General features: G+C 40.6%; 1 long non-coding RNA gene and 1 pseudogene across 1 annotated transcript in view; one reads left to right on the top strand and one right to left on the bottom strand.

Annotated features, from left to right (window-relative positions):
- Positions 1 to 17125, top strand: part of LOC100128993 (uncharacterized) — a 61849-nt gene that overhangs the window by 3095 nt on the left and 41629 nt on the right. Inside the window, exons 2-3 of the long non-coding RNA NR_038919.1 lie at positions 6836 to 6964; positions 15197 to 15260. This is a non-coding gene — a long non-coding RNA (uncharacterized LOC100128993). The remainder of the gene's footprint in view (positions 1 to 6835; positions 6965 to 15196; positions 15261 to 17125) is intronic.
- Positions 1555 to 3991, bottom strand: LOC442382 (ATPase plasma membrane Ca2+ transporting 1 pseudogene; annotated as a pseudogene).

Here is a 17125-nt window from a genome sequence, read left to right as displayed (position 1 = left end):
CTTCCAGGCTGGAGTGCAGTGACATGATCTCACCTCACTGCAACCTCTGCCTCCCGAGTTCAAGCAATTCTCCTGCCTTGGCCTCCAGAGTAGCTGGGACTACAGGTGTGAGCCACCATGCCCGGCCATGCTTCTATCTTTCTAACTGGATCTCTGATTCTACCTCAGCACAGCACCCAAAATGGATCTTTGCTTTGCATTTTTAATTCTGACTCTGACGTATATTTAGTAAATTAAGTAAATAACTTACTAAATCATTCCCCCAGTGAAAGTCTTATGATGGGCTCCACACAATTATTGGGAACTATAGTTAAGAGCTGAGGCCGGGCGCAGTGGCTCACGCCTGTAGTCCCAGCTACACGGGAGGCTGAGGCAGGAGAATGGCGTGAACCCGGGAGGCGGAGCTTGCAGTGAGTCGAGATCGCGCCACTGCACTCCAGCCTGGGCGACACAGCGAAACTCCGTCTCAAAAAAAAAAAAAAAAAAAAAAAAAAGAGCTGAACCCCCAGTAAAACTCCTTGGAAAATGCACCATGGTCATATGTCTGGACTAAGATTTGTACAGTGGAACACCTATCTCCAGTATTGCACCATACCACATGATATAGCAAATGTTCACCTGACCGTTAGACAAAAGATATTACCGAAAAGTCTTTCAAATATGTTTGTTTTGCAATGAAGCTTCCTGGCATTCATTTCATTAAAAAGTTGGCCAGGTGCGGTGGCTCATGCCTGTAATCCCAGCACTTTGGGAGGCCGAGGCAGGTGGATCACCTGAGGTCAGGAGTTCGAGACCAGCCTGCCCAATATGGTGAAACCCCATCTCTACTAAAAATACAAAAAATTAGCTGGGCATGGTGGTGGGCACCTGTAATCCCAGCTACTCGGGAGGCTGAGGCAGGAGAATCGCTTGAACCCAGAAGGCAAGGTTGCAGTAAGCCAAGATCGTGCCACTGCACTCCAGTCTGGGTAACAAAGAATGAAACTCCATATATATATATACATATATACATATATACATATACATATATATACACATATATACATATACATATATATACACATATATACATATACATATATACATATACATATATACACATATATACATATACATATATACATATATACATATACATATATACATATATATGTTGCATCCAACAGAAGTACTAAATTATAAATATATCATTATAAACATATCATTACAAAATAGGTAGAAGGAGAGAAGGAAGAGCATGTAGGATGGTGTTTCTTCCACTTTCAAAATTAAAAAAGGAGTTTATAGCAAACATAAGACTAAAAGTAACTATACACTGTATATAAAATTGTTATACACCAATTTTATAAATGGACAGGAAAGATTTTTTTCCACCATAAGATTTACAAAGCAGAAGTGATGCCATAGTCTTTTCAGTTGCCAGAGCGAAGGAAGTAAAAGCATCCACTATGAGATTCACCAGAGGGGTTTGACCAGCTTTAGAAGGAGAATCCTGGACAACAACACATGCAGCTGTGAAGGCGACAAGTGTGACACTGACAGCCAACTGAAATGGAAGGAATGTGAAGATGCTGTCATAAACATTTCTACCGCATGTGACAGCTTTAACAATACTTGCAAGGTCGTCATCGGTAAGAACGATATAGGAAACTTCTTTAGCTATCTTTGTTTCTGTTAATCCCGTTGCAGATCCAACATCTGCTCTCTTTAACACTGGGCCATCACGAGGACCATCACCAGTAACTGTTACAATTTGCCTCTGTCTTGAAACATTATTCATTACACATTTTAACTAAGTAATAGTATATTTAACAGCAAGGCTGGGGTATCAGCCAGGGTTCTCTAGAGAAATAGAAGCAACAAGTTATATAGGAGAAGATTCATGATAGGAATTGACTAACATGATTATGGAGGGTGCTAAGTCCCACAATTAGCCTTCTGTGTGTTGGAGAACCACGAGAGCTGGTGGTGTAATTCAGTCGGAGTCTGAAGGTCTGAGAACCAGGAGAGCCGCTGCTATAATTCCTAGTCCAAGAAGGCCCGAGAAGTGCTGATGTCCCAGGGAATTAGAATACAGATGTCCCAGATCAAACAGGGAGAATGAATTCACCCTTCCTCTGCCCTTTAGTTCTATTTGGCCCTCAAAAGATTAAGTGAGGGCAATCTTTAGTATACTGATTTAAATGCTAACAGCCCCTTCAGAAACAGCCCCAAAGACACACCCAGAAACAATGTTTCTAGCAGTTAGCTAGGCATCCCTCAACCCAGTCAAATGAACACAGAAAATTAACTATCACCAGCTGGATCTTGCAAGTACATGAAATTTTGACCAACGCTTGTTTTTGAGCCCTTTTTCTTTTTCAATTTCTCCATTGTCATTTTTACGCATTAGTTTCTTGAAATCTGTACCCTCTAAACATGGGTAACCTTCAGGGACCTTTACAATGCTATATTTCAGGGCAACGGCCCTTACAATGTGGAGATTGTCACTAGAATCACACACGCAGTGAATCTAGTATGCTGGCATTATGAAACTGCATTTGGCACCTCAGGTGTTGACGGTTGAAATATGTCTCCCAAAAAGATGTATTCAAGTCCGAACTCTGGTTCCTGTGAACATGACCTTATTTGGAATAAGGTCTTTGTAAATGTAATCAAGATGAAGTCACATTAGACTGCGGAGGGCCCTAATCCAGTAAAGTGCTGGCCTGAAAAAAAGATAGAAATTTGGACACAGAAATACAGAAGACAGAAGGCCATATGAAGCTAGAAGCTCCAAGTCAAGGAATGCCAAAGTTTGCCAGCAACCACCAGAATCTGTGAGAAAAGCAAGGAAGAATTTTTCCCTGGAGCCTTCAGAAGGAACATGGCCTCTGAGACCTCTGGGCTCTAGAACTGGATAAAAATACATTCCTGTTGTTTCAAGCTACTCAGGTTGCAGAGCTTTGTTGAAGCAGCCACAGGAAACTTACACCTTGGCTCTCATAGCATCTTCAATGCCTACAAAAGCAATTCATGCAAGATCTGTAGTAATATCTTATGCATTGCTCAGCCAGGTTTGTTGTCAGTATCTGCAGAATTTCTGAATATCAGGCACAGTATTTTTAGCCCTGCACAAGCCATTGGTTTCATGACACTTTGGAAAACACAGGGATTCCCTCTTCATTCAGGATTTGACACCCCTGTTAAGTGATAGTTCTGAGACTCCCTCTTTGAACAACCAAAAACTCTCGTCGGGCAGTTTGAAGACAGTAGTCATAGATTTTCTGAGTTGAAGATATATGCTAATATTTGCTATAAACTCTTATGTGGTATGCTTTTTTTTTTTTTTAATTGAGATGGAGTCTCACTCTGTCACCCAGGCCGGAGTGCAATGGCATGATCTTTGTTCCCTGCAAACTCCACCTCCCGGGTTCAAGTGATCCTCATGCCTCAACCTCCCAAGTAGCTGGAATTACAGGTGACCGCTAACATACCCGGCTAATTTTTGTATTTTTAGTAGAGACGGAGTTTCACTATATTGGCCAGGCTGGTCACGAACTCCTGACCTCAAGTGATCTGCCTGCCTCAGCCTCCCAAACTGCTGGGGTTACAGGCATGAGCCTGTGGTATGCTCTTTCTTTTCCTTCTCTCTCTTTCCCTCCCTCCCTCCCTCCTTCTCTCCCTCCCTCCCTCCCTTACTTTCTTTTTTCTTTTCTTTCTCAACATCTATTCTGAAATGATGAAGAAATCCCAAAAAGACACATTCTATTATATTGCCAATCTGTTTGGGTGGACCCTCAACAACTAAAAAATTGTTATAAGAACAATGAACAGCAATACCTGTCAAAAACGTATTTCTAAATGGATATGGGACTTACACAATGAGCTTTACCAATGGAAGCCTGGACTCCTGGAATAGTAATGTGCTTGCTTTATCAGAACAGAAGACTGTTGCATTTCCCATAGTTTTACAAGCACCCAAATGTCTCACAGAGTGATTAGCTTTCATTTTCTTTACAGAATAAACCAAGGAAAGGGGAACTGCAAAAGAAAAGCTTTCAGGAACAGTCACCACCAAGATTGTTATTCTCATAATGAAAAACTCAATAATATATTCTGTATAAACTGCAATGCAATCTAAAATTCTTTGGTTGTCTCAAGTCCCAAAAGTCTGTATTGCCAAATTTGTCATTAAGGAGACAATGAGGAAAATAGCCATGAGCCAACCACACTTGCCAATCATTATGGATAATTTTATAAGTTTGTCTTGCAAAATTATTATTATATGTTTTTTGGTGTATGTTTGAATCAGCCGCATTTTGCCTTCACCCTCTCAGGCTGTTGTGTCCCAGCTGGTCCCATGAGAATCTGTTTTTGTTTTGTTTTAACTCCCTTTGTTCTTAGTTTCAAAAAAACCAGCAGAAAAACAATGAGGCCTGCTTGTGAGTTATAACCAGAGCCCTCCCTGGCCTAGGACGCTGACAGCAGGCGGGAATCTGGGTTCAGCGCCTTCCTCCTCTTCTGTGACCCTCCCTGAAGATGCTGTGGTAGCAGGCAGCATGGTACCCTAGGGGACCTGCGCCACATCGCCACCACGAGGTTCACCAGCCGGACTTCCTCCCCTTGGCCGCCCGGCAGCTCGCAGATGTCCTCTGGTCCTGGCTGATGCGCTTCTCCAGGCCGCAGCACTATTTCTCCCTGCTCCAGTCTTGACCTTGGTGTCCTGCACCCGCTGGCAGGTCTGGCTCCCGGGCAGTCCTTGGGCACGTATCACAGGACCAGTAGGGTGACGGCGGCCACCTCCGTCGAGCAGGCCACCACCGGCTCCGCACAGCGCCCTCCCGCGGTTCGGCTCCCGGGGTCCAGCCGCGGCCAGCGCCCGGGCGGTCTCCAGACGTGCACGGCCCGGCTGCCCCACAGTCACCGCCACCTCAGCAGCCGGGCCGGGGAAGGACGAGCCGCGCACATCCCTTGTTCCCGCGCCCGGCGCAGGGGACCGCTGCAGGGAGGATTTCTTTGCCTCCTTCCTCCTTTCTCCAGCTACCTCCACCTCCTGGCCTGAGGCGTCACCCTGGCTATCTACCTGCACCCAACTCCTCCCACCGAACTGGAACGTGACCCTTCCAATTCCAGTTCCACCTCTCTAACCCCACCAAGGGAGAGGCGCCTTCCATCACAGTAGGCAAGCTCCCGGTGTGCTCCAGACGCCCAGGTGGAAATCCACCAGGGCCACGGTAGTGGGAGGCAGTTTATTCAGAGCTTGCTGTGGCAAGACTCAGAGGCAGGCCGGGGAGTGGGGACCCTTCATCGTGGAGAAGGGAAGGCTTTAAGTTGTGCCCCGATTGGAGGCTGCTGGCGTCGGGGACCTGGAGGCAGGTATCCCATGCAATTAGCTTGGGAAACATATTTGGCTTTCTCGGGTTGGTCCTGAGTTGGAAGGGGGAAAGGAAGGGCAAACCTTAGGGAAGCTTGTGGTTATTGATCAAGTCTTGACGCTCTGGGTCAGGTTGCTGCAGGGGTCACGGGTCAGAGTTCTATTTTTATATATGGTCTGGCCATGATGGGTGTGTATATTGTCGCTGGCCAGTCCTCCTCTCCTGTTTCCTCTGGCCACATACACCTTTCCAGGAGAGAGCTGCCAATGGGAGTTCTCAATCAGATCTAACCTTCCAAGGTGCTGGGTTTTAACATTATGTCTGCGAGAAATGCTTCAGATGGGAGGCATCTGCTCCAGGCAGCCTGAGCCCAAGGCTGTGCCTTTTGGGCCCTCAGCTCTGTAATGAAGACCGGCAGCTGAGCTCTTGGATTTTAAAATTGTGAAGCCAGCTTCCTCAACCTCGTCTTAGTTCCGCACAGTGTGGACAGCCGGTAGTTACAGAAAACCATATAGAGTTGGCCCTTGAATGCCTAGGAGGTTAGAGACAGCCCCTCCTACCCCCACATCCTCCCACCCTTCTTGAAGTCAAAAACCTGAGTATAACTTTTGACTCCCCCAAAACTTAACTACTAATAGCCTACTGTTGACTGAAAGCCTTACTGATAACATAAACAATTAACACATATTTTGTATTTTATGTGTATTGTACACATAAAATATTCTTATAGTAATGTAAGCTAGAGAAAAACTATTAAGAAAATCATGAGAAGAGAAAATATATTTACTATTTATTAAGTGGAAGTGGATCATCACAAAGGCCTTCATTCTGTTTGTCTTCATGTTGAGTAGGGCGAGGAGGAGGAAGATAAGGGGTTGGTCTTGGTGTTGTTGCAGAGGTGGCAAAGGCAGAAGAAAATCCAGGGTAAATCCATGTCTCGTCTATGCATTCACCACATATTCTCATGAAGAGTAACTTAAAAACTGAGCATATACCTCATGCAAGACTGTATGTTACACAAGGGATGAAGTAGGGTGTGTTAGACATTCTGTGGCCACATATTTGGTATTTATCTGGTGTCTGTATTCACACAGCCCCCCAAATTCATTTTTGCTATGGCCTTTTTCTGTTCCTGAATTTCCACTACAGTGTAGGCAAATAGGCATCGCCCTGATACCCAGGGCTTTCAAGCATCTTTGCAAAATCTTCCCGTCAATGGGGAATGATGGTTTGGCCCCATCTTCTCTCTCCCTGAATCTAGTGAGCAGCGATTGAACGGTCCCCTGGTGAGTCACTGGATGCTGTTTAGTTCATTCTGTCAGCTGTTTATTAATCTGTAACTTCCTGTTAAGATGCAGGGTGTACTTTTTTAAGAAGCCTTACACAGCATAAGTTTTATTTTGGGACCGGACACACTATTATATAAAGAGGATCTGTGAGTGTTACTTGGTCTTGTAAGCTATTTTTCTTTTTTTCAGCAAAATGTTGTGAGCACCTACCATATGCCAGGCACTGTTCAGTGAACTGGTTGTACAGGAGTGAATGAGATCATCTTGATTTTGAGAAGTTTATAATCTACTCAAGGGAAACACGTGTAATCAACTATGGTAAGCGCAACCATAGATGTACAAGGTATGGGAGGGTGCAAAGAAGGAAGTGGAAAATTCCAGGCCAACAGAGGAATGAGAAAGTTTTCATGAAAGAGACTCTAGAACAGAACCTAGCAAAGATTTTCAACTGGTGGGTAGTAGAGCAAAGATGGCACATTCTGGTGACAGTGTGGGGAGGACAGATTGGACAAGGAAGAACTTGGAGGTAGGAAAGTTATTTCAAGGTTATTTGAGAGGCTGTTGCAAATGGTTTAGGCAAGAAATAATAGAAATAAAGAGAGGGGCAGAAAGAAGGTTTGAGGTAATTTTCACAACAGGATGGGACAGGGGGAGGTGAGGAAAAATGAGTTGATGAAAAGTTTCTGGTTTAGAGCACTTGGTAAATGGTGCTGCCATTAAATCAAATGGAAGAACAGAAGGAGAAGCAGGTGTGTTGGGCGAGGGCTGTGGAGACCATGTTTGGACCTGTTGAAGTTCAGGTGCTATGTGAGGACATCATTCAGTCACTAGACACTTAAAGTTGTTGGAGAGTGAGGTCTAGCTGAAAGTATCTATTTGAGTGACGTCTAATGATTTGGAAACCTTATTAAACAGATTGTGTTTTGGTTTATGGTGCTTGACAAGTGACTGGTACTTCAAAAGTATGTGTATATATATGTATATTAATATGTATATTACATAAGTATATTAATATATGTAATATACATATATTACATATATCATATATATCACATATATAATATATGTAATATCACATATATAATATATGTAATATCACATATAATATATGTATAATATATAATATTATATGTAATATTACATATAATATATAATATTATATGTAATATTACATATAATATATGTAATATGTAATATGTAATATTATATGTAATATAATATTACATATAATTACATGTTACAATAATTAGTTGTATGTAATATTATTACATATAATATTACATATATACATATATTACATATAATACATATGTAATACGTGTTACATATGTAAATTAATATGTATATTACATATATAATATGTAATATATGTATATTACATATATAATATGTAATATATGTATATTACATATATAATATGTAATATATGTATATTACATATATAATAGGCAATAATATCTGTATATTACATATATAATAGGCAATAATATCTGTATATTACATATATAATAGGCAATAATGTCTGTATATTACATATATAATAGGCAATAATGTCTGTATATTACATATATAATAGGCAATAATGTCTGTATATTACATATATAATAGGCAATAATGTCTGTATATTACATATATAATAGGCAATAATGTCTGTATATTACATATATAATAGGCAATAATGTCTGTATATTACATATATAATAGGCAATAATGTCTGTATATTACATATATAATAGGCAATAATGTCTGTATATTACATATATAATAGGCAATAATGTCTGTATATTACATATATAATAGGCAATAATGTCTGTATATTACATATATAATAGGCAATAATGTCTGTATATTACATATATAATAGGCAATAATGTCTGTATATTATATATATATAAATGTTTTCAGATAAAATGTAAGTGCATTTCAGATCATGGCATTTTACTTTAATGGTATCAGCTTTTATGTTGGTGGCTGAGAATGTCAGGGGAAGAAGGTAGTATAAATTGAATACCCTTGACAAATTGACCTCTCGGGTGTTAACATTGACATTAAAGGTGTTACTTGCCTTTTCAGTACTAGAGATTTAAAAATACTCTGATCAACTATGGAAAACTTTATAGTTGTTTTTAATCGTGGAATACTATAAAATAGGCATTCTACTACAATAGTATTTTTGCTAGTTCCAAGGAAATGGGTAAAAATGTGGAAGATGTTTTCTTTTATCATATGAAGTAACATTTGCAAGAATATCTTTTGTAAAACTGTCCTTTGTATCCTAGAATCTAACTTAATCCTAACCTTAACATCACCCTAACCTGTAGCCTTAAGGGTAGAGTTAACACAAACACTAACCCTAGCATAAATGCTAACCCTAAGCCTGAACCTAAATCTCACCATCATCCTAAACTGAACCCTAATCCAACACTAACCATAAACCTAATCATAACCTTAACTCTGAACCTAAAGGTAGTGCTAACCCTAACTCTAGCCTTATCTCTATCTCTTGTCATTAGTCCTAATCTTTACCTTAGAACTGTCTTTTTTCAGGGTAGACCTGTTAGGAAAAAATATTATTTAGGACTCTAGAAACTAGAAAATTAAAACTGAGAAGTAAATTTCAGATTAAATGAATAATCTATAAGCAGATCATCAGGAGGCCATGTTTAACAACATATCATGATTGGGTAGCCTGACCCTTCTGACTGGGGTAACCAAAGGCTGGGTTAGGTGTCTGAAGGACATTCTTGCTTCTGCTTTCCAACAATAAGCATGCCTAATATGGGTTGCTATAAGAATTCAGTAAATATATCCAAGAAACAAAATCTAAATTGAGAGTACATAGACTTCACAAGGTGTATGCTAACCTTAATCCCAGTCTTCCTGGACTCCTGAAGTGTAACACTTTTTTTCTCCAGAAAAATTCTGGAACACCGATGCCTCACTGACTCATCCACTTATGTCTAAATCCCATTATGACCCCATCCAGACCTTACCAGCTAGGACTTATCTAGATTAGACTGGTAGTCATTACAGCAATGCCCAGGTTAGAGAGGTAATATTAGATACTGTATTACATTGAGAGACTTCACAACCAAGCTGAGGAAAAATGATTAGCATCCATAAGACAATGAGAGAATTTGATGGGATGAAACATAACTCAGTGTTGTGTTATATGTTGTACAGACTTGGATACTGAAATGGTTTAAAGTGACAGCTATGAGTGGACACAGTGGAGAATATTTTCCCTCATTTGTATACCAGTTAACAGCTCACCAAAACTTTATAACACATATCCAATCCTTCCTAGGATCTTGGGAGGTTGAAAGGGCAGGTATTAGTGAAATTATTCTTATTTTGCATATGCAGAAATAGGCTCAGCAGAGTTAATTATTTGCCCCCACATTTTCCAGTGAAAGTGGTTCATTTCAGACTACAACTCAAATGGAACAATTTCAGATACAATAGGAAGTTCATTCTATTTCATGGAATATATGAGACTCACACTGGTCCTTAGAGGACTGCATGAAGTTAAAGAGATTAGGAGGAACAAAGGAGTATTCTGACTGGTTAAGAAATATAAGGAGAAGGCTGGGTGCAGTGGCTCACACCTGTAATTCCAGCACTTTGGGAGGCCAAGGCGGGCAGATCTCTTGAGGTCAGGAATTCAAGACCAGCATGGCCAACATGCTGAAACCCCGTCTCTACTAAAAATACAAAAATTAGCTGGGAGTGGTGGCATGCACCTGTAATCCCAGCTCCTTGGGAGGCTGAGGCAGGACGATCGCTTGAACCCGGGAGGTGGAGGTTGCAGTGAGCTAAGACTGTGCCAGTGAGCCAAGACTGTACCACTGCACTCCAGCCTGGGCAACAGAGTGAGACTTTATCTCAAAAAAAAAAAAAAAGAAAGAAAGAAAGAAAAGAAAAAGAAAGAAATATAAGAAGAAGGCAGGAAGCTGGGAATGTGATAGGGAACAGCAGACAAGTGGGAGTGGATGAGGAAAGATTGAAGGGAAAAGTGGAGCTTTGAGAGTCAGGCAAGTTGTTTATATTTCATGCAGGGTTTCACTAAGAAGTCAATGAAGTTTTTGAGCCTGATAGTGATATAAGGAGGATCATCGGAATCACCTGATAGTGGTTTTCCGGGCAAATGGGAAGAGGGAAGCCCTAAGGACCAGGCAGGTGGCTTTTGGGTGGGGCTGCAAGGAAAGGATGGGAATGCAGTGGCAGGAGTTGTTATAAAATGGAATGAAACTGGTTTAAAAAAAGGCAATTAAAAAGCCTAGGGTTCGATCATGATAGATAAAGAAACTGAAAATATCAAAGAATTCCGCATTTCCAATAAGTAGTTATATGGCCTCAGGCAAGTCATAGAGTCTCTCTTGGCCCCTCATCTCCCCTAGGTCACTGAAATTATGTGCATAGAATTATTGGAATAATCTATTTCTCTTAATGAAGAAGGATAACTTAAAGATGGCAAGAAAGATGCTCTCAATAACATTATTTAAAATAGTAACTGGAAAATATCTAAATGCTCTATAATGGGGGAAGAATGAAACAAATTATAAGTATTATGTAGAAATTAAAATCACATTTAAGAATATGGGGACCACCGGTTGCGGTGGCACATGCCTGTAATCCCAGCACTTTGGGAGGCTGAGGCAGGCGGATCATGAGGTCAGGAGATTGAGACCATCTTGGCTAACACGGTGAAACGCTATCTCTACTAAAAATACAAAAAATTAGCTGGGCATGGTGGCAGGCGCCTGTAGTCCCAGCACTTTGGGAGGCTGAGGCAGGAGAATGGCATGAACCCGGGAGGCGGAGTTTGCAGTGAGCGGAGATCACGCCACTGCACTCCAGCCTGGGTGACAGAGCGAGACTCCGTCTCAAAAAAAAAAAAAAAAAGAAGAATATGGGGACATAAATGCTCATAATATAATGGTAGGTGGAACAGGACACAATGCTATCCAAATATTACTAAAAATAAATATGTGAATAGGAAAAAAAGAATTGGTTGAGAGAGATTATCTCTGGCTGATGGTAATGTGTCTGATCTGCACTACCATTTTTATACTTTGTACATTTCTGGAATTTCCAAATTTTGTACAATAAGCCTTTATTACTTTTATCATGAAAAAAATTTAGGAAAAAAGAAAAAAGGCATGAGATTATCTACTACTACTTAAAATCTTTAGATGTGTCCCTTATAACTGTTTCAAAATAAAATATCAGAATGAATAGAGAGGTAGCATCCTTCTCTATCTGACTTAGAAAATATGAGAGAAGTGGAATAGATTCTGACACATGGCTAAGAGAGAGAGGTGACCTTCATAGAAGAGAGAGAGCAGAAAAGAGAAGAGGATCAAATACTGCAGTAACAAAGCTGAGATAGCTGCTTTAACTGAACGGAAATCAGAGTCCTTGTCAGTGAAGTAGGCTGAGTTTTGGGAGCTGTTTATAGCTCCAATAAATACAAAATCAACTCAGGAAGTAGATAAGAATGAATTTATGTCACAAATGAAAACAATGTTTTATTGCACAAAATATTTCATTAGGTTTGCTAACTTCAAGGAGACCTTTGCTAGGATTCCTCTTGGTTTTCCATTAGGACTGCACAATGTTTTCAATGAATGTGTATTGAGGCATAAAGGAAAATCCACCATCCAGTGACATTATGAAACATCCATGTGTTGAGAATTTTTCATGAAGTTATATAAAACCACATAAAATATGTCTAGGAAATGAGACCACAAATGTATGCTTGAGGAGAATAATAATAGAAACTCAACAGAATAATTATCTTAATATCTTGATATTGATTCATGGTAATTCAGTTTTGTGCTTAGAGAGCAGATAATATAAGACAACAGGGCTGCTCATTTGAGGGAATATGGAATAGCAAAACTGCCCGTGACTCAGTTTCTTGCTAAATGTATTTTTCACGATTTTTCACTATTACTTAAAATGAAAACCATGGAAACTATCTTTAACAGGTAAGTTTCTGGTAAATAGAGCCTTCCACTTTAATTATCTTTGATTTTATTTTACTTTTACTTGTGTGTTATTGTTGTTATTCCACCAAATATTTGCTATTCAAAGTTCAGGAAACTCCCCCCAGATGTTTTTTTTTCCTCCCTGCAATTTGCACTGGCCTTGCCCAAGTTCACCATCACTGTCTGTTCTGGGTGTTACCCCACCTTATCACTAGATGAAGCACACTAGAGGTCTCTGCAAACCCAATAAATACCAAATCTGGAAAGAATCAGGGTGATAGAGGCAGAAAGCAGAGAAATCCTAGGTAGACAGGGGTGGTCAGGTCCCCAGTGAAACCCCACCTTCAAGTCAAAAATGACTTAAAGCCTGAAGGCCAAGCTACAAGCCAAATCCACAGACCGGATTGAGAAACTGTCTTCCATTTGGCATGCTTTCCTTTGAGTGAGCCCCAAACTTCAACGATTTTACATATACCTACCCTTCCCTAATTGTTTTTACGCTGTGCCCACCTTTTACTGGTGCCTTTGTTTTAACCTTTTTTTTCCATACTCACACACCAATCAGCATGCACACCCCTAGCCCCAGATTCAGCCACATCAAGAAGAGATGACCTGACTTTGGCAAAGACAACCTGACCTTCCCAACCCTCTCCAGTTCCCCTCTCTGCTGAGAGCTGATTTGTGACTCATTAAAATTCTCTGCTCTCATCACCTTTCAATAGTCAGCATGACCTCATTCTTCTTGGACGCTGGACAAGAGCTCAGGACCCACCAAGCAGGGGTACCCAGTAGGGCTGTAACACTTGCCCTTTGCCCTTGCTGGTGGAGGGCAGCCACCCCACACAACAGAAGCAGTGGCAGAGCTAAGACAGTCCCAGAGCCGTGGGCCAGAACAAGTCAAGGGGCCAACTGAGCTTGCTAATACACCGCAGTCTATTGAGCTGCGGATGGCAGAACTAAAAGAGCTAATTAGCAAACTAACACCTCCTCTGGGGCTTTGGAATCACGGGCACCCCTGCCTGGGAGCTGCTGCATTCCCCTCAGGGTGACATGCCTGGTCTGGCCGCAGGCCCTGCATGGAGTTTGCTCCTGTGTCAGCACTCAAAGCAGCCCACTGGACCCTGCACTTGCTTACTCACATGCTCCCTCCCACCAGGGGCTGAGCACGTGGGCCAAGTAGATGAGGCTCCCCCTGCTGCAAGTCCGACAAAGGGCCAAGAAAAATTCTGTATCAAGGGCTCAGTCTTTCTGTCTGGTTTTTTTGAGGATCAGCTTGTCATTAGTCTTTGGGTATACCCAGAGAAATACCGTTTATTTTCTTTTCTGCCATTTTTACAAATATGAGTACAGCCGAGGAAATTAGCACATGTGGGTATACCCAAAAGTCAGGGGAGCTGGGAGGGATAGCGTTAGGAGATATACCTAATGTAAATGACGAGTTAACAGGTGCAGCACACCAACATGGGACATGTATATCTCTGTAACAAACCTGCATGTTGTGCACATGTACCCTAGAACTTAAAATAAGAAAAAAAAGAAAAAGAAAAAAAAAGAAAATAAATGAACATAGTGCTTAGAGGAAGAACTTGACTTTCTCACTACCCAGTGTCTGTAATTCTAGCCTATATTGTATGTGACCAGTGGGCAAAACTGCTCTCTACAGAGCAGGAGGATTTTTCCCAGTTGTAAGATATTTGCTCAATACTGATTATCAAAATAAACACTGTAAGATTGTTTGCTTATATCAACATAGAGGGAGCCAGAAAACAAAAGTTTCCATTTTGATACAAAATTTTTAAAGATGAACCTTGTTAGAATATGTTTGCACCTTTAAAATAGGAGGTGGAAAATAAACAGTGCTGGGAAGGAAGGACAGAAGATAATAATAAAATGAGACCTTTTGACCTTGTTTATATAAATGAAATAATTAGGCCCAAGATGGCTTTTCTGTTGCAAACTTCTCATCTCATGTTTTAACTTGAATGACTGTCAAAATAAACTGCAAGTTTCTGTACCATGTGTAATTGGTGTGACATCTGGGGCTCCATCAGAGGCCACTGTTTCTCTAACTTTAGCTAACCAGTGTGCTTCCTGTAGCGTGCTTTGGATCAACTGTCAGAGCCAGAGTCCAATTACCCTCTGGCACCTTTTCGAATCCTCTCCTCTTCTCTCTCTCTGTTTGACTTGCAGAAGTGTCCCTTCCTGCCCTTATATCATTCCTGTGCTGAAAAAGCTTATTCTCTTACCAAATATATATAAGCAGAGAGCTAACAGGGTTAGCTATATCTATTTGAAGAATTTTAAATCATTTTTCAACTGTCAATTCCTCATTTGCTTGATTACATGTACATTTTACACCTTTTCCTTAGCAAGTGAGCCAAGATCGTGTGTTTTTTCATCCATGGCTTGGAGTCTAGGAGAGAAGGAGGATGAGGAAGAAAATAATTTGAAGATTTTACAGGGAGAAGGGATTGAAATTTTCACTGGAATGGAATGACTGGAATAAACAAAGTCGATCATGCCAGGCAGCTTAACTGAAAGCATTTTATATTTTAAGTTTCAGACATAACCCCTCAAAACCAAAGCAGAACCTCTTCAAGGAGCTGAGAGATGCAAGCCTGGTAAGTCACTGCTTAGGATTTGAACTTTCATCTGAAGCGGAATACTAGCAAGAATATATTTTAGGAGAAAGTGTTTGGGTCCTTCAAAATTCCGTCTTTGTTTTATCCATAACTGCAAAGATAGGAATTCTTGCATAATAGCAGAGGTAATTTGGGGTATTTTGCTAGGCGGCTTTGGGGCATGTTTTCCTTTGGAGGCAGGAGAATCAGGAAAATATTTGTTTCACCATCTAAACCTACTCAAGCATAAAATCAAATGACCAGTGGCACAGTATTTGAGGATTTAGGCAGCTTAATGACCTGTGAATTATGCTTTTCTTTCAATATATTCTGAAATATTGGCTGGTTGGATACACAGTCTTCATGAACATACACTGAGGGATAATTTTTTTTTTAAATAGAAAACTCAAGTTTATCTTGATTCAGAAGATCTAGTTCTGTTTTAATAAAATGGAATTGAAACTTTGCTCTTTGCCCTTCATTTAATATCTCATGGTTACAGAGATGGAGTCATGGCGAAAGCATTGAGTTGATGACAAATGCATTTCAAAGAAAACTGTGACCGGTAAAAGTATTAAGATGCCATGTGTTTCCAAAGAAAGGCTGGACAATGAAACTTCGAAAGACAGAGTTAGAAAAAAAGAACTTTTACTTTCCTCTTATCCATAAAAAAAATCTTTGTTTTTGTAATCAAATCCCCTAACTTAGCTTCTATACAGCCCTTTGCCCTCAAGTAAACAGGGAACTACCTGAATGTGAAATCATTGCAGCTTATTAAATGTCAAAGAGAGGCTTGTTAACCAGACATATTAGATAACCAATTCCATGCAGAGCAATTGCTAACAGAAAATGTCAGTGTTTCCTTTGAAGACAACTGATGACCACACAGAATGTGAACGTTTATAAATAATTAGAAAAAAAAGATTAGAAAGCATGCAACCTCATGTCATGCTATACATTCTTAAGGAGAATAAATGTTACAATTAATGTCATTAATAACAATGACCAAGTATCAGTGTGTTAGAGATTGTGTGGAATGTAGACACTGTTTCAGCCTAATTCCATAATCACAATTCTGTTAATGGGCAGGATATAAGCTAGGAGTGAGATTTTAAAAATGAGTGTGAGCTGGCAAGGTTGGAGGTGATGAGGTGGTAGGACTGTCTGGGGAATATTTGATGTACTTTTGTAGATATGAAAAGATAAGCTTCTCAGAATAACTCCTTCAGTCATGAGGATAGGATTTTTTTGGGGGGGAGGGGTAGGTGGGGTGTGGAATAGAGAATTTTATTTTTTTCCTTACTCAAAACAGGATATGCTAAGCCTAATAGTTTCCGTTTTGCCAACGATCAAGATGTGATTTCCCCCCTGATCTCTGCCCTTGGAATTTCATTTTCCTGAGATGGGGAAAGGAATGGAGCCTCTCCACCCTCTTTTGGGTGCTCATCTTCTCTCCAAAAAGGAGAACATGAAATCCCCATGAAGAAATTCTGGCCCAATCAGAGAAACTGTAAGATGTCTCTGGGATTTTAAAGGATCCATCTTTGGATGGGTCTGAGAAAGCCTGTGAACTTCCGGCAATATTATGCAGACTTGCTAGCTGAGGAACCACTCCTTGCATCAGCAGGCTGTTGGAAGGAAAAGCACTGGCTCAAGAGAAGGAGAGAAAAGTCTTTGAACTAAGCCTGCCTTTGAGACCAGGGCTGCTTCTGCTGCAGGGCTTACACCCTGTCTCTCAGGATATTCATGAACAGAATCTCCCTGCTTGTGCTTTGTAAAGGGTGTCTGTGTTTGGAGAAAGAGAGACTTCCTTCCCTTTGTAAACAAATACAGGTCAGCCAGGGAGATTTAAGAATGCGGTAACT

Source organism: Homo sapiens, chromosome 8 (genome assembly GCF_000001405.40).
Source record: "Homo sapiens chromosome 8, GRCh38.p14 Primary Assembly".
NCBI classification, from domain to species: domain Eukaryota; kingdom Metazoa; phylum Chordata; class Mammalia; order Primates; family Hominidae; genus Homo; species Homo sapiens.
This window is presented reverse-complemented; position numbering and strand designations above follow the sequence as displayed.